Here is a 26,556-nt window from a genome sequence, read left to right as displayed (position 1 = left end):
GGGGATATCTTGGGTGTGTGACATCGTGCCCTCCCAGGGAGGCCCATTTAGCAGAGAGGACTGAGAAAATCAGAATGTCGCCTCACTTTCTTTTTTCTTTTTTTCTTTTTTGAGATGGAGTCTCACTCTGTCACCTAGGCTGGAGTGCAGTAGCGCAATCTTGGCTCACTGCAACCTCCGCCTCCCGGGTTCAAGTGATTCTCCTGCCTCAGCCTCCTGAGTAGCTGGGATTACAGGTGCACAACACCATGCCCAGCTAATTTTTGTATTTTTAGTAGAGACAGGGTTTCACCATGTTGCTGAGGCTGGTCTCCAACTCCTGACTGTGTGATCCGCCTGTCTCGGCGTCCCAAAGGCTTCACTTTCTTAAAACCAGCTGCCACTGTTTCTCAGGCTCTGTCGCCATCCCACTTTCCACCTCCTTTTCAGGAAGAGGTCGGGGTGACTTTCAGAAATTCTGTCTTTAGAGTGAGATTTAATCTATGGTTTTAAGGAAGAAAACGGACTTTTCTGAGTGCCTTTTGTGAGCCTCATCACGTGTGGTTTTGCTTTCACTTGTGCTCATTTAGTCTTCATGAATACCCTGCAAGGGGCTGTTATTCCCATCTTGGAGGAGACAGGCCAAGTGGCTTGGCCAAGGTCACGCTGCCACTAAGGGGTCCTGCTGGGATTTGGACCCTGTCTGAGCTTTGGAGCTTCTGGGATCCTTGTCATCCCGAGGAGAACCAACCAAGCACTTTATAGTAGTTTTCTCTTCCTCCCTCCCCAGAATTCACAGAGATTCTCTGCAGAGGTCAGCAGTTACGTATTCAAAGCGGGACTGATTTACGGAGTACCTATTCTTCCTTTCCAGAAGGAGCGTGTGGCGCCAGGGCCGTGAGCCCACTGGACTCTGGGCTTTTTGCCCTCCCTGGAGGCTGCTCTGTGGCCTCTGAAGCACAGGTTGGCCCTGGGTGACCATTTTTTGGGACCCAGATCAGTCCATCACCTCACAGGGCGAACACTCAGACTTGCCGCTGTCTTCCTCACTCTTACCTATATAAAACTTGTCTTGAAGCAGTTCTCCTCTTATAATTCTCAAGTCTGGCTTGGTTTTGCTTTGCTGGGGAAACTAGGGCTTAGAATCCTTAGGAAAACCTTGCTGTTTGGTTTTCTAGGGTGACAGCGTCCCCTGGAGGCCTTCCTGCCCGTTGCTCCGTCTTGGACATCCACAGAGGGCAGGCTGCTGGTGCTGGATCGGGGCGTGGTGTATTTCTATGGGATGGGGATCTCCAGGCCCCCATTGACTCCATTATAAAATGAGGCTATTTTCTCCTCTGGAGTGGGATGGTTGCTTGTGTTCCTAGGAAAGGATATAGCAAACGCAGGGAAAATGCAAATATGGGTTTTAATGATGCCCTCGTCTCTACTGTTTATTCGTGACGCTGCCATGCTCTCCTGAGTGTAGGAACAGTCGTGCCGCTGCTGCTCACACTAATGACTGGGGAAGATGCGATGATTTCCCTCTGGCTTTGGCTGTGTTCCTGTCCTGCTTGTCCCACCCTGAGGCAGCAGGCTGGGACCTTGGGCTTCTCCCTTGCCTCTTTCCTACCCCGAGGGATCTTTGGGGAACACAACAAAGAACTCTGCAGCCCCTGCCCCTGGGACCGCACAGCTGAGACAGGGAGGCACAGTAGGGCTGGCTGGATTTGATCTCAGAGGGGACGCCTCCGGGCAGCCTGGGGTGGGGATGCACAGGGAAAGCAGGGAGGGGCAAGGCAAGCCTCCAAGCCCCCAAATCCAGGTACATGTCTATTTCCATCTCCAAAGACTCTATAATGAAAACATTAACCTTCAGCATTCTCCTCTGATGCTCGTTTTAGCCTCCCCCCACCCCAACCTCCCCAACCCTGAGGAGGTTAGAGCAGCTAATGTCCCTTCTCACCGACTAGGAAACGTAAAGCACCTTGTCAAGTGGGTGAGTAGCAGGGCTGGGCCTTGAAATAAGGTCTTCTTGCTTCTGCTCCTCTTGTTCTTTATTCTCTCATACTCCCCAGGAGGTGGCACTCACCCAGCCACAGAGATGAGCAGTGTCCAGGTTTTGCACAAAGCTGGGCAGTGGGTCTAGTGAAAAGCAGGCTGAGGGTTTACACGGAGGAGGAAGGGAGCTGGGTGTGGCTCTTTACCAAGTCCTTTATGTCTGGAGTCTTTTACCAACTGACAGGGTGCTTCTGGAGATCTCTAGGATTCCTCAGAAGGGGTTGGAAGGAGGTTTCTGGGCTTTGATCTGCCATATCCCAAACTGCAGTACCAGATGCTATGGCTCAACGAATGTCACGGTTGTCCTTGTCAAGGGTTTCTGGTCTGTGCATCACCTTAGCCAGCTGTGTGCTTTGCTGATTTTCTTTGTTACTGGGTGCCACCTGTGATGTGTGAGAAGATGGGATCATAGGACATTATAGTTGTAACAACAGCTTGGATAATTTCTTTCAATTTCATCTTAGAGCGGGAACTGAAGCCCAGAGAGAATATGTGACTGGCACAAGGTCAGACTGCTGGTTAATGCCTTAATCAGATTAAATACTGACATTATAGAGTCTATGCAGACAAATAAGCTAAGGGAGTCTGGCTTCCTTGCGTTAGTCTGTCTTCCTCCTAGCAAAGTTATTATCTCCCTATCTGACTGGTATTCCTGGTACGACTGTACTTGGTGTTCGTGGCTGGTGCCTGCCCTGATTCGCAATGTGTTATGCTGGTTGTTAAATATCTTGAGTATCACCCGTGCTTCCTACTGTCATTCACATCAATGTCTGCATTTGGTGAAGAGAGACTCGGGGGACAGTTGGTTTCTATCTTGCTAATCGTCCCTCTTCATGGCACTGCTAGATGTTTTGGGCTCTGAGACACACATTGAGAAGGAAAGCCCTTCTGCATTTGTCACTTGATAAGTTCAGGGTCTTTATCGGTCTGGGGCTGGTTGGGCAGTCACAGCAGCTGTAAAGCAACTGCCAGGAGGGACCTGCCAGGCTCAGTCTCTGGCCCCTCTCTCCTGCTTTTCATGTAGCAGACATTTACTGAGCACCTACTAGGTGCTGGGTCCTGGGTGGGCTGGGAGCTGAGGATGCTGAGGTGAATAAGACATGGCCCCTGCTTTCAAGGGAAGCAGACCTGACCTGGGAGAATCAAATAGGGTCTAAAAGTGCAGTAACAGAGGTGAGAAAAGAGTCCTGGGAGAGTGACCGATGGTCTGATGGACTGGGAAGGCTTAACTCTGTTGTGAAGGTCTGGGTGAAATCAACTTCCCTCTCCCTGCCCGCAGATGCTGGGGTCCAGCAGGAGTGGGTGAGCTCTGTTTCCTACCCTTGTCAGATCTCCAGGAAGAACTCACCCTCAGGATGCTGAGATGCTGGCGTGGACTGTGCAAGTGTGAAAGGTTTAGCTGAAGTGGGTGGTGTACGTGGTAGACAGAGTCTTTAAGGCTTTGAGGTCTGAGGATACAGAATGGTTATATCTGGGCTTGACAGATGATGAGGGTGGTTCTTGGGGCCACTTCAGCCTTAAGTGTCCTCCTTCACTGAAGACAGAGTCTCCCTGCTACCCCTGGACAGCTTCTTAGGGTGCTTATATCTGATGACTCCTGGGGCCATATGACAGCATCAAGGGTTCTTGAATCTTGAGGGTTTTGTGGATAGAATTCAGGGGTAGAATCCACAAACTTGAATGATAGAAAATTACATCTTTATTTTCATCAACATTTAACTGACATTTAGTATTTACTTCAATTAATAATATAGGCAAAAACCTACATTAAGATGAGTTCCTGTGACTGTCACTAATAGAAGTAACACATAGAGGCCAGGTTCTGTGGCTCACACCTGTAATCCCAATACTTTGGGAGGCCTAAATGGGTGGATCCACTGAGGTCAGGAGTTCAAGACCAGCCTGGCCAACATGGTGAAACCCTGTCTCTACTAAAAATACAAAAATTAGCCAGGCTTGGTGGCACGTGCCTGTAATCCAGCTACTCCAGAGGCTGAGGCACGAGAATCGCTGGAACCCAGGAGGCAGAGATTGCAGTCAGCCGAGATTGTGCCACTGCACTCCAGCCTGGGTGACAGAGTGAGACTGTCTCAAAAAACAAAACAACAAGAACAAACACATAGATTTGTATCATATCAAATTTGTTGCACAAATCTCGAAAACAAATTATACTCATTTGTACTTAGAAATTATGCCAATTTTTAGATGTGTCTCTAGGTCTCATTATTTCATGTGTTAATAGAGAAGGAAGTCTATTACTATATCACAAATTTATGTTTAACTATTTGGATAACTCTGTTTCTATACATTTAGTCTCCTTGTTGCCTCGGATAATTATTTTATACATTTAAAAACATTCTGAGTAGGGTCCATAGATTTCATCTGACTGTCCTGAGGTTCCATTCCATGGCCCCAAAATGCCTACATGCCCTTGAACATATTCCCCAAAGCCTAGGAGAAGCCTTAGGTAGAGCATGGCAGTCCTGCCTGGCTGCTGTATGAAGGGAGATCAAATAGGAACGCCCACCGCCTGCTCTCTGGGCACGCACTGCCCAGAGAGGGCTCCTGAAGAGTCCTGCTGCAGGTGCACTTGTGGGGCACGGGATGATGCTGGGCTCCTGTGTGCTGCTGTGCAGCTGCCTCTCCGTGTGCACAGCTAACTGCACTTTGGAAGCATGTTGTTTAGTCCATGGTGTGCCTGAACCCAAGAAGGGAGCTGAGCACTGGAAGACCTGGGTTCTAGGACCTTGTCTGCTGCCAACTGGCTTCTCTCTGGATCTCGACTTCTATTCTGGAAAAAGGGAAGGTTGGGTGTGAAATCAGGGATTCTCCAGCTATGTATCTGACAGTACTGTCTTCCCATGACTTGGAGTAAGGTAGTCTATACCAAAATAAAAAAATTGATAAAGTTTTTGCAATTTACTAAAAAGTAACATGAATAAAGATAGTTTTCTCAATTTACAGTTGTTCTAACATATCTTTTTGTTAAACCTTTGGAAGCTGTTACCCCTTGCCTGCCAGTAAGTACTTGTTGAGGGCAAAAGGAGTGGGTGAGAAGTGAGAGAATATTAATGGGAGCATGTGGAATTGGCCAATCATGTTTAATTTCTAGGCTTAGTTTGGGTTGTGGGTTTTTCTACAGAATTATTCCTAGTTTTAATGGTGGAATTAAGCATGCTGGTACGTTAAGAACCTTTGTAAAGGATCTTGCAAACAGCATCATGATCTGTGCATGTTCTCCTAGCTCCCACCAGTCTCCAGGGCCCCTTCCTGCTCTGCTATTTTGTGGACCTACAGCGTGTAATGATGCATTCTGCTCAAAAGGCGGATGACCCTTGTTCTGAGTGGACTCATGATTCTGTGTGGAGTGAAGGCCATTCTCCAGAGGAGATAATGCTCCTGTTTACATTCAGGCACCAATACAAGCAATGGTGCACCCCACTTATTCCCTGCCTTCCCTATTCTGTGCACACAATTGTAAGGGAAAACAAAGCGACAGTTACAATGGAAGCAAAAGGAAGAGCAGCTGTTGGGGATGTTAGCTGTGTCACTGTCTGCTGAGCGGGACAGATGCACTTAGGAGGCCTCATCTTCTCTTACCTCTCTTGGCTTGCCCAGGAGCTTAGCTAAAGTCAGAGGGTTCCATGATGATTCATGGAAATTGCCATTTATGGCCTAATGCCTCCTAGGGAACCCTGGGTCCATTCTGATGTCTCCCAGAATGTGTTTACCATTCCTTGAGCATCACTGGGTTGGGAGTCTCGGCTACTGCAAACCACTCCACTGTGGCCAGCAGTTGGACTTTCTGTCCAGCCCAGCACCCTGGGCAGTCGGACTCTCGGCTTGGATAGGGTGACTGCTGGTGTTCGTATTACTGCCTTGTTGAGTTTCCACTCAGGAATTGATTATTCTCAGGTGGTAAGGGCTGAGGTCTGTTTGACCGTGGATATTTTAGCCCATGCTGTTGATCCGTTCTTTCTGGGCTCTTCCAGCCCAGGGAACTTACACTTAGCTCATCCACAGGCCGTTGGAGGGTGAAGGCTTCTCAGGCCTCAGAGAGGACCTGTGAGTCTTAGCAGCTTTTCAGGAACAGGAAACAGAAGGAGTGGAATTTGATGGGTGTGCTTTTCTGTTGTTCTCTGCAGACACGGGAACCCCCAAAGGCTTCAGAGTGGAAGCCCCAGGGTCCTCGGAGCTGGTGTGGGTTTGCTGCTGGCTCCCTGCACACGCTGCCCGTGCGTGGTTACGAGTTTGTGTGTGTTGCTATGTACTGCTCTCACGGTGCATTGTGGAGTTGGGGAGGTTGCATTCAGACCAACTCAGGCCACGCCTGTGAGCAGGGTCTGGCATCCCAGCTCTGCCTGCTGAAGGCTGAGAGCATCAGTGGTATGCGTGGGAGCTGCCTTCCCCACTGGGCTCCCCAGGAGCACGATGTAGCAAGAAGAACTTAGGGTATGGAGAGTGAAGGGCCAGGTTCACTGATGTGTGTCTTTGTGCAAGGTTCTTAGCCATGCCGGGTCTATTTTCTTATCTGGGATCTGTAGCCCACACCGTTCATGGGCGAAATACTTCATGAATTGTAATGTGTCATAAAATAAGCCAAAGTTGGCTCTCCCACCCTGTCTACCTTTGTGCTTCAATTTTCCTTTTTTTTTCCCCCTCTTTATGGGCTGAGTTGAATTCCCTTCCTATTTTCTGAATGAATGAAACTGCTTGATGAGTGGATTAGGCATCCCCAAAGGGAGAAGGTGCAGGGAGTTTACTGTCTTGTTAGGAAATTAGAAAATTCATGAACAGAGAGTTAACAGTTCAAGGCATATGTGCCAATTGCCTCTTTTCTGGGCTCCCAGAGTAAAAGGTTTCACAAATACTGGTTATTTGAATACCATGATTATGAGTTTGAATACCACTACTTACTAGATTCCTAATTTTAGGCGTAGCCATTTACTATCTGGACTATTATTTGCTGAATATTTTTGTTAAATTGGCTCACTTTTGAAACTTAAATTTATTTTAAAGGGAAACATTCTATCATTATCAGAAATGGAGAACCAATATCACTGGCCAACAGATAGACAATAATTATAAAAATAGGCACAACCGAAACAAAACGACATCATTCATTTCTAGCTGGATACTGTTGGCTGCAGGAGATCCGAGACCGGGGCCTGCTTACTCTTTGTTGAGAAGGAAGCTTAGCTAGCATCAGAGAGGTTAAAGACATATTGGAAACAAACGGAGACTTTATTTTTGCAGGATAATTGAAAACGGACTTTCTTGTTATTTAAAAATGTTATTTGATGCTATGTTGCATCCATCCATCATCTAATGCCTCTCATTCTGTACTTGGGCAACATTACCAAAGCACCTAGTACACCTTCTAGAGCTATGCTTGCCGCTGAATGGATTGAAGACTTTTAGAACAGAGACTGTGTCTTTCTAATTTATTTTTATTTCTATTTATTTTATTTTTATTTATTTATTTATTTATTTATTTTGAGACAGAGTCTCACTCTGTCACCAGGCTGGAGTGCAGTGGTGCGATCTTGGCTCACTGCAACCTCCACCTCCCAGGTTCAAGTGATTCTCCTGCCTCAGCCTCCTGAGTAGCTGGGACTACAGGTGCGCACCACCATGCCCAGCTAATTTTTGTATTTTTAGTAGAGACTGGGTTTCACTGTGTTGGCCAGGATGGTCTCAATCTCTTGACCTCGTGATCTGCCCGCCTTGGCCTCCCAAAGTGCTGGGATTACAGGCATGAGCCACTGCGCCTGGCCTTTATTTTATTTTTGAAAAATAGGGATGGGGTCTTGCTATGCTGTTGACCAGGCTGCTCTTGAACTCCTGGCCTCAAGTGATCCTACCATCTCCCAAAGTACTGGGATTACAGGTGTGAGTCACCATGGATGGCCTCTTTTTTTCTTTTTCTTTTTTTTTTTTTTTTAACAATGTGTGACATATTGATAATATAATAGCCTTTAGTGCTGTTTGTTGAATGATTCAAAGCATAATGCCTAGCAAAGATAATACATTGTAGAGTTGCTCCAGGAGGCAGAGATGCCCAGGAGCTTGAGTTGACAGGGAAGGCCAACTGGAGAGGAAGCCCTTGGTGCCTTCTCCTAGCCCTGCCCCCAATTATAGCAGCCTGGGATCTCTGTGTGTCAGCTCCTATCCTTTTCCTGCACTGAAACCTTCTCCAATTCCTGCCTCTCATTCAATAGCAGTATTGCCTTTGGTTCTCCCATCTCCTTCCTCAGTCTGGGAAGAAAACACCACAGCAATCTGCAGCCCGCTCAGAGCCACCCACCCTGAGGAGACGCCCGAAGAGAGAAAGCTAGAAGCCGGGGTGGGATGAAGGGATAGGGGAGAGAAGGTGAGAGAGAGGAGACCTGTAGGGTGAACCTGAGTCCCTGAACAGGCTGTCATCTGGTCCAGTGTTTTGGGGATTTGGTGACCTGTTGGGGAAAGAGGTTGAGCCCTGGGGTGTTAGCAGATTTTTTTTGTATCTTTCCACCCTTCCTTCTTTTCTAGTTCTGGCCTTCTCTTCTTTCTTTCAACCCTCTCTGGCTCTGTGCCATTGGGCAGATTCCAAGGTCATAATGATTACTTTGTCATGGACTTGGATTTGTCATGGGCTCTTCAGAAAAAAGACGCAGACATGATTTCCTAGGGACAGTATGTCAGGCACTGTCTCCTTGTCCTGAAAGCTTCTCTGGTGGTGGGATCTTTTCCAGTCATCAGGAACTTCCTATTCAGTGTTGCCAGGAATACCTGCTCTCTCTTTCCTGCCACTGGGGCCTCATGAATCTTGGGCCCCTCCCTCTCTGATCCCTGTACTTCTGCTTTTGAAGTTATTAGTAATAAGAGATGCTTCTACTGTGCTAGGAACATAAAGTAACTCATTTAATCTTTAAAACCACTCCATGAAGCGTATACTACCACTGCCCCTATTTTGCAGATAAGAAAACCAAAGTTACATAACTTGATCAGGGTCATCCCAGCACTGCCCCCAGGGTGATGGGGGAGCTGACATTCCACACCGTCCTCCCTGCCAGAGCCCCAGGTGGCTCCAGGTGCCACACGGCCCTAACACGCAACAGCACCTGGTGCTCCCTTCAATTCTTTCAGCGTTATCCCCCAGCCTCACCCCCCTGGGAACCCTTGCTGCCAGTGAGGGATTCAAACCCTGAGCCTGAGCTCTCAGTCACTGCCGTGTCCTCCCTCTCCAGGGATGAGGTTCCTGCTGTCTGAGCTTGGCATGGGGAAAGGGGAGTCCTAGAGTCCACTGTTTGGATTGTCAGCCACTTAAGAAAGTTCAGGGGAGGAGAAGAACACCTCTGAACTTGAGAGTATCCTCTTCTTATCATTTTGTTCCCTGTTCCCTTTGTTCTGCTGATCCTGTCTTCCCTCCTGTCAGCCTAGGTGGGAGCTTGTGGGTTGGGAAAGAGCTGGATCCCTGCAGATACCTTTTAATTACCCTTGGGCTGTGTTTGTGGTGAGAATCAGTCTGCTCAGGACTGCCCCTGAGACAGGTGTATGGGTCTGGAGCCAGCAGGCAGGGGTGAGAGGTGGCAAGGCTTCCCAGGGGGAGCAAGGCTAGAGGATGACACTGCAAAATTTGAAGATCGAGAAGGAGCATCGGGTGCTGTGGCATGTCGGGGCCGTGTGGTACCAGGGTCACCTGGGGCTCTGGCAGGGAGGACAGGACGATGTGGAGTGTCAGCTGCCCCCGGAAGCAGTACTGGGATAAACCCACAGGTGTGTGCGCCGCTCATTCGTGCTACAGGCATCAGGAGAGGTGATGGTGGGCCTGCGAGGCGTCTGCCCTGGGCACACTCAGCCTTCCTCTTCTGTGGCTTCCCTTCCATGTGGTTTTCCCATCACTCTCCCTCCTTCCAATCCCACTCATTCAGACCCTTCAGTGTAACCCTGCTTTGCGGCAGCTGCATTTTTCTCAGGGATCAAAGCCTTAGGTGAATGGTGGTGTATTGGGCACCAGCAGGTGGAGCAGGTTCTGGAAATCACATCATATTGGCTCTTTCCTTTTTCAAGGACCATGGTCCCAGATGGGAGTCCCCCCTTCTTTACTACAGCTTCCATAAGCTGCTTACATTGGAGACTAATGCTGCAGCAGCCAGGCAACATTTGGGCTGGAACACTCTTCAAGCACAGAGGCCTGCATTGCTCTGGGATGAAGAAAGAGGGGATGATCATGTGGTGGGCACATTTGGGGAGGTCAGTGTTTAATGAAGAAAGCAGAAGGCAGGAAATTGCCCAGGGTCATGCAGGATGACCCATGTACATGTGTGGGTTTCCTCCATGTGGGGGCTACTCACGGAGGGTGAGTGCTTAATCTGCTCACCACCTCTTGCATTCTGGGTCACCCCTTCCTGCTGCTAGGATGCTCAGAAGTGGGAGCTAATTCAGTCATTAATCTTAGCCTAAACCAGGCTGAATTACACAGATATGCTGGGATCTTCCACTCTCAAATGCAGAGTACAAATCCCTCCAGGACCAAAGGACCAAAGGGCTGCGGTTTATCTGTGCTACCACTCATCATCTCTGCCAGTTTGGATAATTGTGAATTGTCTGCACAGACCTTGCTGTCTACACCCACACACACACACACACACACACACACACATCTTTGCACATCCTAGCTGTCTTACTGTAATGCTTGGAACCAAGAGTGGCAGAGCTGGGAAGGTTTCTTGAAGAAGAAGGTTCTGGTGTAAAGCACAGTGAGAATGCCAGCCAGAATCTGAATTTCAGCTGAGCCACTAGAGGACATATAACCGTGGGGAAATTATATGATACTTCACATCACTTCAGTTTTCTTCTCTGTATAAGTAATCTGGCTGAATTGTTTTGAAGAAGGATGGCACATAGTGGGTGCTTAATATTTGTCCAGGAAACAAATAATTAAATGATATAATGTATGTTAAAGAGCCCAGTGCAGTGCCTGGCATATATCAGAAGCTCAGGATTAGCTGTTCTTAGAGTTTCTTAATATCAGGTCCAAAGATCCCTCAAACTCTTTTGTCTTTTTCTGGCCTCTGGGATGACCTACCTGTAAGTTGGATGTAATCTCCCATCCTAATTATTCCCAGTTCCTCTTCTGGCCTGGCTTTACAGACCAGCATGAGACTTCAACACTGCGCAATTGTCCGGTGCTGTGGAGAGTCTGCATTCAGAAAGACAGAAGCCTTTGTCCTTCCTTCTTTCTAGAGTCTCTAAAGCTCTTCCAAGAGCTAAGACCCCCATGTCATATACCTCACCAGGAAGCTGGATGGTCCCTAGGAAGACTCAGCTAAAATCATAGAGACCTTTGCATTCCTGGGTCCATCAATAAGTCACCCACCTTTGTGCCCTGGTTTGAGCTAGAACTCCCCTCCCCTCCCCTCCCCTCCTCTCCCCTCCCCTCCCCTCTCCTCCCCTCCCCTCCCCTCCCCTCCCCTCCCATCCCATCCCCTCCCCTCCCTTCCCATCCCATCCCATCCCCTCCCCTCTCCTCCCCTCCCTTCCCCTCCCCTCCCCTCCCTTCCCCTCCCCTCCCCTCCCCTCCCCTCCCCTCCCCCTCCTCCCCTCCCCTCCCCCCTCCTCCCCTCCCCTCCCCCCTCCTCCCCTCCCCTCCCTTCCCTTCCTCTTCCCTCCCCTCCCCTCCCCTCCCCTCCCCTCCCATTCCCTTCCCTTCCCTTCTTTTGTGATTGAGTCTTGTTCTGTTGGCCAGGCTGGAGTGCAGTGGTGCGATCATGGCTCACTGAAACCTCTAACTCCTGGGCTCAAGTCTTCCTCCGCCTTGGCCTCCTGGGTAGCTGGAACTATAGGCACATGTCACCATGCCTAGCTAATTTTTAAATTTTTCTTTTGTAGAGATGGGGGTCTCACTATATTGCCAAGGCTGATTGCAAACTCCTGGCTCCAAGCCATCCTCCTGCCTCAGCCACCCAAAGTGCTGGGATTAAAGGCATGAACCATCTTGTCCAGCCTAGCTATTTTGAATGCCATTCTTAAATCTCACATCCAAATTTAAGTGTATTAATATAGCTTGTTATCGTGAGTTTTTTAAAAAAGTGAATAAGCAACCTAATTGGTCTGCTTTTTAATCCTGGACTTTCAGATATCAAGTTTGTTCGAAGTGAGGTGCACTGTAGCTTTCTCACTATGCTGTAGTGGAAGGGGATATTTCCTCTCTATACATCTCTGAGTGTAATCTAGCCTATAAACTGACTGTAGGAAGAGAGAATATAAACTGCCTCTTTTGCTCGCTCATGCAGTATCTCAAATCTCAGGAGGAAGTTCTTCCTAAGATCTAACCGAAATCCCTCCAGAGCAACTGTATGTTGGCAAAGGAATAAGTCAAATAGCATCTGTGTGATTGGCCCCTCGGAGTCTAATGTACATGGGGAATTGTCTCTGGAGCCTCATTTTGATGCTCTTATGTCCTAGGCAATGGAGCAACAGGATTGGAAAATATCTTCCTTGTGGGCCTGAGGAGGAGGGATTCTGTGTATCTGCAAATAGGAGTTCCTTTCCCAGCTTTGTCTCCAACTCAGAACAGGTCATGTGGTTTTTCCCAGCTCTTGAATTTCCATTCCATTTTTGGCTGGTTTGAGTTCCTCCATCTCTCGTCTCCTGCAACACCTACCGAGCAGGTCCACTCACCGTATTCTGCAGAATCATGCAGTCGTGTGCATCAGATGCTTGAAGGTCACCTCATCCATGCCCCCAGCTCTGGACAGGCTGTGCATGTCAGGGTCCTTCAGACTTCTTCCCAGGGGGCTTGCCCATGCTCTTACGTAATATCTCCCTATGTTTCTAGAGTCTGACCCGAACCTTTCTTGCTGCCATCTCAAACCCTTGGTCCACATAGTGGTGGCCTCCAGGGAGGCAAAGAACAGCTGCTTGTCCTCCCCCTTGTTCCTTCCTTGTTCTTGTTGGGGTATCACCTCCATGCATCCAGCTCATGAATCCCCCAGCAATTTCTTTGTCACCAGATCACATTGCAAGCTCCTGTCCAAATGCTGTCTGGCTGCTTCCTGTTCCAAGCATCTCCCTCCCACCTGAGTATTTGTGTTTCTGATTATTTATCCCCAGATGCAAAGGCCGCATTTTTCCAGGTTGAATCTGCTCATTGTTACTTCCTGCCTGGGTTTGCTAACATCTCCAGGTCCCTCTTGCAGCCACCGCTGCAGCCTTGCTCGGTATGGAAACGTGTATTTCCAGGCTTCAGAAAGCAAAGCGTGTCGGGAATGGGACGAGGAGAATCAGTGACCCTGCTGAGAGTGGCCCCACCTCATCTGAAGTCAAGGCCCTCCCCAGGAGAACGTCTGAATTGATGAATACAAAAAGCCATCAAAGTGCTGCCGGCAGGGGAATGACCTAGACTGAGACCTGTCCCAGCTGTTGGGCTTTCTCTGAGTCTCCTGAGCCGAGAACAAGGAGACGCCTTCCTGCCCTCTTGGCCTTGACTCTTTCCAAACAGCCATCACCAGTTCTAATTAAATACTCAGCAGATGAAGTGACTGAGCACCAGAGGGGAGGTTGGGAAGATGCTGTGTGCTTGGCCATTTCCTGTCCCGGCCCCACCCATGGGGAAGGGGATTGTGGTCAGGCTGTGCCAGGATGGCAGGGACCACACGTTAAATGCGGAGGTAGAGCAAATGCTCCCCCATGTTTTTTTTTTAAAGGGAGAGTTCACTTTAGTTTTTTGTTGTTGTTGTTGTTGTTTTCCATTTTATTTTATGGTAAGCCCTCGATGACTCAGAAAGAGTTGGAAGGGACCTTTGAGAGTCTTTAATTAGCGTCTCATTTTACAGATGGAGGTCCATGGAAGTTCAGTAACATACTCAAATTCACAAATGCATTTTTAAATTGTCCTCTGCCCTCTAGATGGGTGCTAAACACTGGGCATGGAAAGTGAAATCTCTCGTGACTAGGAGGGGCTCAGAAACGGATGCCTGATCCAAACAACCATGTGTTCCAGGGAGTAAGTCTCAGCCTGCCTGCATTTTTCCTCACTCTTTACCTTGAGCCAGAGCTAGAAGATGAAGCTGGGCATAGTGGTGCCTCTCCATCCTCTCAGGGCTCTTGGTTGTCCGTGATTACATTGAAATCCAGGGCTGTGATGTGGGTTGAGTTGGATACTGCTTATGAGAGACCATCAGAACTTGGGTGACAGGGGAACTGCTGAAAAACGGAACTCATGCATCCTGTCCCCCTTCCCAATTCTCTTGCTTCCTATCCACTGCAGCTTTGGAGTATTGAACATGTTGCTAGTTAGGAGGGCTCCTCAGAAGATGCTGATGAATTTGGAATGATTTTTAAATTCATCTGGGGAAATAAACAGCTGCAGCTTGAAACACAAACACAGACACTTGTGCTGCTGTGTGTTCCCCCTCCCACCATCCCTCCTCCCTGATCTGGGAAAAGCGCACACACCCAAACCATGTAGAAACGCAGAAACCCATGTGCATAAACTGAACAACCACTGTGCAAAGGAAAAGGGATGAGCTGTCCTAGAGACTGGCAGACTCTGTGCTAGACCAGCAGATGACATGGTTCTAAGAACAGTTATCTGGAATCCGAGGGACCTTTGCATCCCTGGTTTGCAGAGCTCTTTGCAAAATGGAGCTGTTTCTGTCTTCTAAGAATCTTCAGTTTCCCTAGGGAAAGGAGAGGAGAAAGGGAACAAACATTTGTTGGTCACCTGAGTCCATGCCAAATGTATATATTAACAAAATTGTTGTGAAGTAGCAATTGTTGTTAGATTATTATTCCCATTTTACAGAAACAGAGGCTTGCGGAGGTGAAGCTGGGGCTCCAGTTGAGATCTGTGACTTTGCATGACACAGGACTGCTTTCTTATTCCCCTGGCTCTGCGGAGTTGCCTGAGTGAGCATCTCAGAATCCAAAGTCTCTGAGGGACCGTGTGATTTTAGGGGACAGCTGCTAACCCACTAAGTGTGTCTGTTTCCTCTCTGAAGATGGGAATCATGCACTTTGGCTATTTGGCTGAGTTGCTAGAATTCTTAATAAGATGAAGTCTCTAGTCCTCTGAGGTGTGATTAGGAATGACAATGAAAGAGATGTTTGCCAGTCCTCTAAGCTGGAAGCATCACCCAGAGGCGACTGTCTCAATCAATGAGTTTACTGTGCACTTACTATGCATGGCCAAGGTGTTGGCGGACTCCGGAGTCCTGGCTCAGGTGAACAGCAGGGGGAGTCTCTTCCATCTTAATGAGAGATGAGCTGCTTCTTGGGCTGCAGCTTGGTTTTACAGGCTCAACTTTTTTCCTTGAGAAACTCCTCTTTCTAAACCCCATTAACCCCTCTAGCTATGGCCTTCTCATTCTCCTCTCCTTTATAGCTAGGCTTTTAAAAAAGCCTCTTTTGGAAGTATAGCATATATCAGAATAGTACACAAATTTTTATTGTACAACTTGGTGAATTATCACTGAGTGGACAAACTAGAGGAACTGCCATCCAGATGAAGAAATAGAACATTTCCAGCTTTCTGGAAGTCCCCCTTGGGCCTCCTTCCAGTCGTGACCCTACCCCCACCACCCAAAGGTCGTGACTATTCTGACTTCTAGCATCACAGATGAGTTTTGCCTGTTTTTCAACTTTGTATAAATGGAATCGTATAATATGTATTTTGTGTCTGGCTTTTGTTTTTGCCCAACATTAAGTGTGTGCGATTAATCTATATGGTTGTGTGTAGTAGTGGTTTATGCGTTACTGGATAGTATTTCATCGTTTGAATGTACCACATTTTCCTTGTCTGTTGTACTGTTGATGGACGTTAGGGTTGTTTTCTGTTTTAGGATATTATGAATAGTATTGCTATGACTATTCTTTTACAGGTCTTTTGGTAAATGCATTTCTAAAGGGTACACACCTAGGAGTGGAATTGCTGGGTCATATGGCAGGTGATGACCAGCTTTAGTAGACACTATTGGAAAGTTTCCAAAGTGTTTGCATCAATTTATATTCCCCATTAGTAGTGTAGGAGAGTTCCAGTTTCCCTACATCCTACCAACACTTAATATTGTCAGTCATCTTAATTTTAGCCATTCTGATACATGTGTAGTGGTATGTCAGGGTGGTTTTAATTTGCAATATCTGGTGACTGCTAATGAGATAAAAACCTTTTCATATATTTTTTTTCCAGCCATTTGGATATCCTCTTTTTTAAAGTGCCTGTTTGAGTCTTATAGCCATTAAAAAAATGGGTTGTCTCCCTTTTTCATATTGACATGAAGGGATTCTTCATCTATACTTGGTACATCTTTTGTTGAGTATATATTTTGCAAATATCTTCTTCTCACTCAGTGGTTTTTCTTTTCACTCTTTTGGTGGATAAATGTTCTCAATTTTATTTTACGTCATTTTATTGATCTTTTCCTTTATGTCAGTGCTTTTTGTATTCTGTTTAAGAAATTATCACCTATCCAAGCTAAGAATATATTCTTTGTTATCTTCCATAACATTTATTTGTTAACTTTTCACATTTAAGTCCACAGTCCACATAGAATTGATTTTTTTTTTTTTTGGTCTGTATGTGGCATGAGGTGTGAGTCAAAATTAATTTTTCCCCACTTTGATATCCCATTAACCCAACGTCATTTATTGAACGGACCATTCTTCCTCATTGCTCTGCTGGATTATTGAAGCCAGGAATCAAGACTTTGTCTTTGTATGGGATCTGCTTCTGGACTTTATTTTATTCTCTTAGTCTGTTTGACTATCCTTGTGCCAATATCTCATTATCTTAATCACTGCATCTCTCACAGACTTTTTTTGGAAGTTATTTCTACTTACTATGCCCATTTCTTTACCTGTCACTCAGCCTACTCCAATCTGCCTCTGCTTCCCACTGCTGTGCCCCAGATGCTCTTGTATGGGTGGCCAGGGTTTCTAGTAGGTGCTAACCTGAGCAGTTTTTTTTTCTTTTTTTAGTTCTTAGCTTCCTTAACCCTTGAGCAATATTCAGCACAGTAGGACATTCCTTCCTGTTGGAAACACCATTTTCCCTGATGCTATCCATACTTTTCTGACTTCCTTCCTGCTTCTCTGGCTGCTTCCTCTAAGTCTTCTTGGCTGGGTCTTTCTGCTGTAATGAATTCTTTTTTATTTATTTTTTTCTTTTTTTACACCTCTCATGTCTCTGCATCTATCTGATGATTAAATATTGAAACTTTTCAAAGCTCATCCCTAGGTTCTCTTCAAAAAAGGGAGATTTAAGACCCTAAAAATCTTAAGGAGTGACTTTACAGTCAGTCTTAAGATGATTTATTTTATGTTCAACATTTCTGTTGCCATCTTTATCGTAAGAGAACTCCAAAATTTATATTTCCAATTAGAATTGTCTTCAAAAGTTTAAACTATGGATTATCTCAACTGGAATTTTTTTCTTCCAAAACTCTTCCCGAATTACCCTTTTAATCCAGTTTTAAATCCTTTTTAAAAAAACCTTTCTACCTATTCTCTGTGCACTCAGATCCCAACCAGTTGGGGCTTCAAATAAAATATTTAATTTCTTTGAGATTCAGTTGCCAAAAATCATTAATAGGGAGAATTATTTCTCTCCTTCATGAGGAAATTTAGAGAATTATCAAAATTATTTCTGTAAATTTATTTCCTATCTTTAGAGACAGATAATATCTCTACACAGTGTTAGTTACCATCCCATTTAGGTTCCTATGAAGCACCCATTATCTTCAATGGTACTGTTTTCATCTTCATTCTGACCATCTAGAAGGTGGGGCTTAAAAGGAGGGGAAAATTGAAGGCACTGTATGTATTAAAGCTGGAGTTTCAATGTTATAAGTGAATACTAATCAGGATTTTAATAAGATTTAAAGTTCTTTTGTGTAGTCTACTGGTTCTCAATTTGAGCATTATCAGAATTATCTGGAGAACTTGTTTATGAATACATCTTTATGTGTGATTTTATTAGTTGTTGATCTAGGGATTACAACAGATATACTTTTTTTGTTTTTGTTTTGATTAATATTTTTATTTCAATAGTTTTGGTGGTACAGGTGGTTTTTGGCTACATGGATAAGTTCTTTAGTGGTTATTTCTGAGATTTTAGTGGACCTGTCACTGAGCAGTGTACACTGTACCCAATATGTAGTCTTTTATACCTCACCCCCCTTCCAGTCCCCAAAGTCCATTATATGATTCCTATGTCTTTGTGTCCTCATAGCTTAGCTCCCACTTATAAGTGAGAGGATAGAATATTTGGTTTTCCATTCCTGAGTTACTTCACTTAGAATAATGGCCTCCAGCTCCATCCAATTTGCTGCAAAATAAATTATTTCATTCCTTTTTATGGCTGAGTAGTATCCCATGGTATATATGCCACATTTTCTTTATTCGCTCATTGGTTGATGGGCACTTAGGTTGGCTCCATCTTTGCAGTTGTGAATTGTGCTGCTGTAAACATATGCATGCGTGTGTGTTTTTCATATAATGACTTTTTTTTTTTCCTTTGGGTAGCTACCCAGAAGTGGGATTGCTGGATCAAATGGTAGTTCTACTTTTAGTTCTTTAAGGAATCTCCATACTGTTTTTCATAGTGATTGTACTAATTTACATCCCACCAGCAGTGTAAAAGTGTTCCTTTTCACCACATCCATGCTGACATCTATTGTTTTATGACTTTTTAATTATGGCCATTCTTGCAGGAGTGAGGTGGTATCTCATTGTGGTTTTAATTTGCATTTCCCTGATGATTAGTGATGTTGAACATTTTTTCATATGTTTGTTGGCTATTTGTTTATCTTCTCTTAAGAAATGTCTCTTCATTTCTTCACTGGTTCTGTTTATGTGATGGAGTATGTCTCTGTTTGCAAATGACATGATTGTATATTTAGAAAACCCCATCGTTTCAGCCCCAAATCTCCTTAAGCTGATATGCAACTTCAGCAAAATCTCAGAATATAAAATCAATGTGCAAAAATCACAAGCATTTCTATACACCAATAATAGACAAACAGAGAGCCAAATCATGAGTGAACTCCCATTCACAATTGCTTCAGAAAATAAAATACCTAAGGAATACAACTTACAAGGGATGTGAAGGACCTCTTCATGGACAACTACAAACCACTGCTGAAGGAAATAAGAGAGGACACAAACAAATGGAAAAACATTCCATGCTCATGGATAGGTAGAATCAATATCATGAAAATGGCCATACTGCCCAAAGTAATTTATAGATTCAGTGCTATCCCCATTAAGCTACCATTGACCTTCCTCACAGAATTAGAAAAAACTACTTTAAATTTCATATGGAACCAAAAGAGAGCCCATATATCCAAGACAATCCTAGACAAAAAGAACAAAGCTAGAGGCATCACACTACCTGACTTCAAACTATACTACAAGCCTACAGGAACCAAAACAGCATGGTATTGGTACCAAAACAGATATATAGACCAATGGAACAGAACAGAGCCCTCAGAAATAACGCCACCCATCTACAACCATCTGGTCTTTGACAAACCTGACAAAAACAAGCAATGGGGAAAGGATTCCCTATTTAATAAATGGTGTTGGGAAAACTGGCTAGCCATATGCAGAAAACTGAAACTGGATCCCTTCCTTACACCTTATACAAAAATTAACTCAAGATGGACTAAAGACTTAAACGTAAGATCTAAAACTATAAAAACCCTAGAAGAAAACCTAGGCAATACCATTCAGGACATAGGCATGGGCAAAGACTTCATGACTAAAACACCAAAAGCTTTTGGCCACAAAAGCCAGAATTGACAAAGGGGATCTAATTAAACTAAAGAGCTTCTGCACAGCAAAATAAACTATCATCAGAGTGAACAGGCAACCTACAGAATGGGAGAAAAGTTTTGAAACCTATCCATCTGACAAAGGGCTAATATCCAGAATCTACCAAGAACTTAAACAAATTTGCAAGAAAAAAACAAACAACCCCATCAAAAAGTGGGTGAAGGATATGAACAGACACTTCTCAAAAGAAGACATTTATGTGGCCAACAAACAGATGAAAAAAAACTCATCACCACTGGTCATTAGAGAAATGCAAATGAAAACCACAATGAGATACCATCTCACACCAGTTAGAATGGTGATTATTAAAAAGTCAGGAAACAACAGATGCTGGAGAGGAAGTGGAGGAATAGGAACACTTTTACACTGTTGGTGGGAGTGTAAATTACTTCAATCATTATGGAAGACAGTGTGTGATTCCTCAAGGATCTAGAGCCAGAAATATCATTTGACCCAGCAATCCTATTACTGGGTATATACTCAGAGGATTATAAATTGTTCTACTATAAAGACACATGCACATGTATGTTTATTGCAGCACTATTGACAATAGCAAAGACTTGGAACCAACCCAAATGCCCATAAAGGTAGACTGGATAAAGAAAATGTGGCACATATACACCGTGGAATACTATGCAGCCATAAAAAAGGATGAGTTCATGTCCTTTGCACAGACACAGATGAAGTTTGAAACCATCATTCTCAGCAAACTAACACAGGAACAGAAAACCAAACACCACGTGTTCTCACTCACAAGTGGGAGTTGAACAATGAGAATACATGGGCACAGGGAGGGGAACATCACACACTGGGGCCTGTTGTGGGGTGGGGGGCTAGGGGAGGGATAGCATTAGGCGAAATACCTAATGTAGATGATGAGTTGATGGGTACAGCAAACCACCATGGCTTGTGTATACCTATGTAACAAACCTCCACGTTCTGCACATGTATCCCAGAACTTAAAGTATAATTAAAAAAAAAAAAAGAAAAAAAGGGAAAAAAAACTACATACAAAATAAAGAAAAGAAATGTCTCTTCAGATTCTTTGCCCACTTTTTGATGGAATTATGTGTTTTCTTTCTTTTTGATTTGTTTGAGTTCCTTCTAGATTCTGGATACTAGTCCTTTGTTGGATGCATCATTTGTGAATATTTTCTCCCACTCTATATGTTGTCTATTTACTCTGCTGATGATTTGTTTTGCTGTGAGGAAGCTTTTAAACTTAATTAGGTCCCATTTATTTATTTTTGTTATTGTTGCATTTGCTTTTGGGGTCTTAGTATGAATTCTTTGCCTAAGCCAATGTCCAGAAGAGTTTTCTGATATTATATTCTAGAAATGTTATGGTTTCTTAGATTTCAGTCTTTGATCCATCTTGAGTTGATTTTTGGATATACTTGTTTTCTTTCAGTCTACTTAGAATAAATATTTTACCACTTCAAATGCAGTAAAGAAGCCTTACCATCTTAGAAGTTCCTTTGCCTTTCCTCCTTTGTATTTGTCTTATGTATTATAGTTACACAAATTGAAAACTCTATGAGAAAGTGTTATAATTTTTGTTTTCAGTTGTCAAACATTTCAAAGAATTTAAGAAGTGAGAATAGTCTATTTGCACAGACAGTTAACATTTTTCTGGTTCTTTATTCCTGATGTTCTAAGTTTCCTTTTGGTACATTTTCCTTTTTTCTGAAGAATTTCCTTTAGCAATTCTTTGAACCAAGTCTGTTGGCAATAAATTACCTTAGTTTTCCTCACAGAGGAGTCTTTACTTTCATTCCTGAATGGTATTTTCACAGGTTATAGAATTCTTGATTGACAATTCTTTTCTTTAAGCATTTTCAAAATGTTGCTCCACTACCTTCTGACCTTCATGGCTCCTCATGAGAAATCTGTGGTCATTCAAATCACTATTTTCCTGTAAGTAATGCATTGTTTATCTCTGGCTGCTTTCAAAACTTTTTCCTTTGTCGTTTTCAATACTTTGATTATGATGTGTCTAGGTGTGAATTTCTTTGAGTTTATCTTATTTGGGGTTTGCTGAACTTCATAAATCTGTTTCTGGTTTATACCTCTCACCAAATTTGGAAAGTCTGTAGCTATTATATTTTCAAATTTTTTTCTATGCTGTACTCATTCTTCTGACCTTCTGGAGCTTCAGTGGCATTAATGTTAGATGTTTTTGGTTTGCCTTATAGGTCTCCAATATTTTGTTCATTGTTTTCAACATGTTTTTTTGTCTCTGTTGTTCAGGTTGGTTAATTTCTATTGATTTCTTCAAGTATACTGACTCCTCTGTCACTTCAATTCTGTTATTGAGTTCATTCAGTGAGTTTTTTAATTCAGTTATTTTATTTTTTAATTATAAAATTCCCATTTGGTTCATTTTTATGTCTTCTATTTTTTTTTTCTGAAAATGTCTCTTTCTATTCATTTCAAGAGTGTTTGCTCTTTCTTGGGCCTTTTTTGTAATGACTACTTTAAAGCATTGGTCAGATAAGTCCAATATCTTTGTCATCGGCATTTGTCTATTGTCATTTCTCACAAAAGATTTCCTTGTTCTTTGTATGTTCAGTAATTTTAAATTGTATCCTGGACACTTTCAATATTATGTTATGGAAATCTGGGTTTTATTAAATCCTATTTGTGTTTTATCAGGCAATTGATCTGGTTGGGTTGAAGTTGCAAGTTCTGACCAGAATTCTGTAGGTAGTTTCAAAATCAGTTTCATTTTCACAGCCTTATGCTATTTGAGTCTATCCTATGGATGCTATCAAGTGGCCAGGTTGAGACCTGGTTAGTGATGTATTATGTAGCTCAGTCTTTACTGTCTTAGGGTATATAGTGTGCTATTTAGGATCAGATCCATGCACATGCAGCTTTAGGGTAAGCCAAAGGGTTCATGAACAGCTTATGGGGGCATTTTGCTGAGCTCTTGCCTCTCCGTGATCTTTGCAGAACCTTCCTGTCCCCTGAGACCCTCTTTGCCATCCTTCAGCCAGAAATCTTGGAATCTACTTACCCTCCTCTGCCACATACTTCCCAAAACTGCACCTGTGTCTGGGGCCAAGTGGTGAAAGGACGCACACAGAGAAAAAAGCAACAGGGGTTTGCTCCAACCTCTTGGGAGCAAAGAGGAATGTTCCTCTCACTCTCCTTCTAGGGGCCTGTGGTCTAGCATGTGAAAGAATGGAGAAAAGAAAACAATGGGGGCTTCCTTCCACTCTTTCTGAGTGTTAAGAGATGACTTTCTTTTTCTAAAGCCAGAAATAGAGGGCTTCTCCTCGGCTCTCTCTGTCCATGCTAATGACCCCTTCTGGGTTTTGGACTGCTTGAGTCTAAGCTGACTCAAAAAGAAAGTAATTTTGAGGTGGCATAGAAGGAGAACGTGTCTGAAGAGAAATGTGTGATCTCTACACAGTCTATCAGGATTGTAAATGGACATACCCCAAAGGTGGAGAGAGTGGAATGTGATGAGGTCTGAATGCAAGTAAAAAGGCAAACTCAATGAAGTGAGTTTGGGAGATTCAAGTTCTATATGAGCTGTGACTTGTAAAATATGGGAAAGGCAAACAATGTTTTCTGTGTCACTGCAAGGGAAAGAAGACAGCAGGTGACCAATCCTGTAAGTGAATGGCAGATATTCCACTGTGCTGGGGAGGAAGGCAGTCACTGGAGGAAAAGATGTCAGCCCAGGTTTTTGCAGAAGGCCATGCAAGATATTTATCCATCAGTAAACATGAACTGATTGTGTACCAACTCAGATATTGTACCTTTGTGAATTCTTCCCCTGCTGCCTCCTCAGGGATGCCCCTGTTTCCTATGCATGCCTTTATGATGGGCCTCACTGACTTGCGCTGTAAACTGCATGTTCATCTCTACCTTGAGGATGGGGACTGCATCTTTTTCAATCTCTAAGTTCCTAACACAGGGCTTGGCAAGAAATTATTAGGCTGAATTCTTTCTATCTCACAATTTAATGTGTGCCTTTAGGAAAATCCTAGAAGACAGAGTTGCCTAAGAATATTTAACTTCAGATTAAGGTATTTATAAAGACAAAGCAGTCTCTTGACATATTCTGACATGTGAACCTCTGCTCTGAGCTGTGAGTAGAAGGACCTCTTCTGACAGGGTCCCAAAGGGCTTAAGACAGGGGTCTGTTCCATTGTCTAATGTGCTCCAGTGTGATAAGTTGGAGGCACATTCTGCATTGACCTGAATGTGCCAGTGGGTTGGCAATGAGGCTGCAAGCACCTCCAAGCAGCTGCCATAGTAGAGAAATGGACTCTGGCCATGGGAGGCCTTGTCATCTTCCCCAGGCCCCTGGAAGAATTTTCCATGCAGCCAAGGGCTCAATACTCGTGGGAATTAATCACTTCTGGGCAGTGCTGGTTTTCCCAAGATGCAGGTCTGGACAGAAAAAAAAAAAAAATGGAATTTTAAGCCCCAGGGCCACAGACTGGAGGGGACCTGGTGAGTCCTATTTCCCATCTGTGAACCTGCTTTTGCTTGTCTACAGACACATTGCCTCTGATTGTCTTTCCTTTCTGGACTTTTAGCCTTAAGGGCCTGCCTTATTTGTGCAACTCACATGAGTCCTCCAGGCCACCAGGAGGTGGTAAAGGGTCTTGGACGGGGTGCTTCATTGAGCGAAGCTCTATGATCAGTAGGAAGTTAATACCTCCTTTAAGAAAGAGTTGACTTCTCAGTCAGGCACTGACCTAAAAGCTTTCATTTCCCCTCTACCTGAGAGCCCTACTTTGGCATTCCTGGGTTAATGGCCTGTCTGGTGGCCAGCATATCACAGCTGTTACCAGCACAGGGGCTGTGTAAAGAGGAAACCCAGTCCTGGCTCCAAGAGACTGGCAGTCTGGGGAAGGAGATGGGACACGTGTAAGACAGGGGTCGTTTAAGAGTCCCACCTTTGTGGAGTTGTCCTGATTTCCTCACCTGCGCTCCTGGACACTTATTATGCTGACCCATGTTTTACCAAGTGTCTTTTTGTAATGTAATGTAATTGCTTTTTGTCCAACTGTCCCTCAGCAGCATGTAAACTCTCTGAGGGCAGGGGCCATGTGGAATTGAGAGGTGACAGCGTGCTGGCAGTCCTTGCAGCCCTCGCTCGCTCTCGGCTCCCACTTTGGTGGCACTTGAAGAGCCCTTCAGCCTGCTGCTGCACTGTGGGAGCCCCTACCTGGGCTGGCCGAGGCCGGAGTCGGCTCCCTCAGCTTGCAGGGAGGTGTAGAGGGAGAGGCATGGTCGGGAACCAGGGCTGCGCGTGGCGCTTGGGGGCCAGCGCGAGTTCTGGGTGGGCGTGGGCTTGGCAGGCCCCGCACTTGGAGCAACCAGCCGGCCCGCCGGCCGTGGGCAGTGAGAGGCTTAGCACCTGGGCCAGCAGCTGCTGTGCTCGACTTCTCGTGGGGCCTTAGCTGCCTCCCCACGGGGCGGGGTTTGGGACCTGCAGCCTGCCATGCCTGAGCCTCCCCAGCTGTGGGCTCCTGCGTGGCCCCAGCCTCCCCAACGAGCACAGCTCCCTGCTCCAAGGCACCCAGTCCCTTCGACCACCCAAGGGCTGAGGAGTGTGGGCGCACGGCGTGGGACTGGCAGGCAGCTCCACCTGCGGCCCCAGTGTGGGATCCACTGGGTGGAGCCAGCTGGGTTCCTGAGTCTGGTGGGGACTTGGAGAACCTTTATGTCCAGCTAAGGGATTGTAAATACACCAATTGGCACTCTGTATCTAGCTCAAGGTTTGTAAACACACCAATCAGCACCCTGTGTCTAGCTCAGGGTTTGTGAATGCACCAGTCGGCACTCTGTATCTAGCTAATCTAGTGGGGACGTGGAGAACTTTTGTGTCCACACTCTGTGTCTAGCTAATCTAGTGGGGAGGTGGAGAACTTCTCTGTCTAGCTCAGGGATTGTAAACACACCAGTCAGCACCCTGTCAAAATGGACCATTCAGCTCTCTGTAAAATAGACCAATTGGCTCTCTGTAAAATGGACCAATCAGCAGGATGTGGGTGGGGCCAGATAAGAGAATAAAAGCAGGCTGCTGGAGCCAGCGGTGGCAATCCGCTGGCGTCCCCTTCCACACTGTGGAAGGTTTGTTCTTTCGCTTTTTGCAATAAATCTTGCTGCTGCTCACTCTTTGGGTCCACACTGTTTTTATGAGCTGTAACGCTCACCGCGAAGGTCTGCAGCTTCACTCCTGAAGCCAGTGAGACCACGAACCCACCGGGAGGAAAGAACAACTCCAGACGCGCCGCCTTAAGAGCTGTAACACTCACCGCGAAGGTCTGCAGCTTCACTCCTGATCCAGCGAGACCACAAACCCACCAGGAGGAAGAAACTCCGAACACATCCGAACGTCAGAAGGAACAGACTCCGGACACCCCGCCTTTAAGAACTGTAACACTCACTGCGAGGGTCCGCGGCTTCATTCTTGAAGTCAGTGAGACCAAGAACCCACCAATTGCGGACACAGAATCAACCTCTGTATGTCTGTCCCGGAACAATGTAACTTAGTGGTTAAGCACTCATGCTTTGTGAGCAGACAAACCTGAATTCAAATCCCTGTGCACCACCAAAGGTTTCTTCTCTCTCTCATAAAACTTCATGTTTCCACTAAAAAAAAAAAAGAAAAAAAAAACCGGGGGGCATGTTAGTATCTACCCCATAGAGCTTATGTGAGGGGCACAGAGGATAACGCTTGTAAAAAGCTCA

General features: G+C 45.1%; 1 protein-coding gene and 1 long non-coding RNA gene across 4 annotated transcripts in view, besides 2 other annotated features; one reads left to right on the top strand and one right to left on the bottom strand.

The window, feature by feature from the left end:
- Positions 1-26,556, top strand: part of ANO2 (anoctamin 2) — a 383,578-nt gene that overhangs the window by 31,922 nt on the left and 325,100 nt on the right. The gene's annotated exons all lie outside the window — the stretch shown is intronic.
- The window catches only part of LOC105369621 (uncharacterized), a 30,421-nt gene continuing 5,865 nt past the window's right edge, over positions 2,001-26,556 (bottom strand). Inside the window, exons 2-5 of the long non-coding RNA XR_931583.3 lie at positions 26,393-26,457; positions 11,090-11,203; positions 3,368-3,694; positions 2,001-2,402 (exon numbers count right to left, since the gene is read on the bottom strand). This is a non-coding gene — a long non-coding RNA (uncharacterized LOC105369621). The remainder of the gene's footprint in view (positions 2,403-3,367; positions 3,695-11,089; positions 11,204-26,392; positions 26,458-26,556) is intronic.
- Positions 5,776-6,276: an enhancer, noted in NCBI's record as "H3K4me1 hESC enhancer chr12:6017201-6017701 (GRCh37/hg19 assembly coordinates)". NCBI's record gives its function as "activates a minimal SCP1, AML or CMV promoter by ChIP-STARR-seq in primed H9 embryonic stem cells {active_cell/tissue: H9 hESC(primed)}" and the evidence as "EXISTENCE:reporter gene assay evidence [ECO:0000049][PMID:30033119]".
- Positions 25,741-25,941: a silencer, noted in NCBI's record as "peak1543 fragment used in MPRA reporter construct". NCBI's record gives its function as "represses an SCP1 promoter by STARR-seq MPRAs in K562 erythroleukemia cells {active_cell/tissue: K562}" and the evidence as "EXISTENCE:reporter gene assay evidence [ECO:0000049][PMID:32103011]".

Source organism: Homo sapiens, chromosome 12 (assembly GCF_000001405.40).
Source record: "Homo sapiens chromosome 12, GRCh38.p14 Primary Assembly".
Classification (NCBI taxonomy): domain Eukaryota; kingdom Metazoa; phylum Chordata; class Mammalia; order Primates; family Hominidae; genus Homo; species Homo sapiens.
The sequence above is the reverse complement of the archived record's forward strand: the minus strand, read 5'-3'. Positions and strand labels throughout refer to the sequence as shown.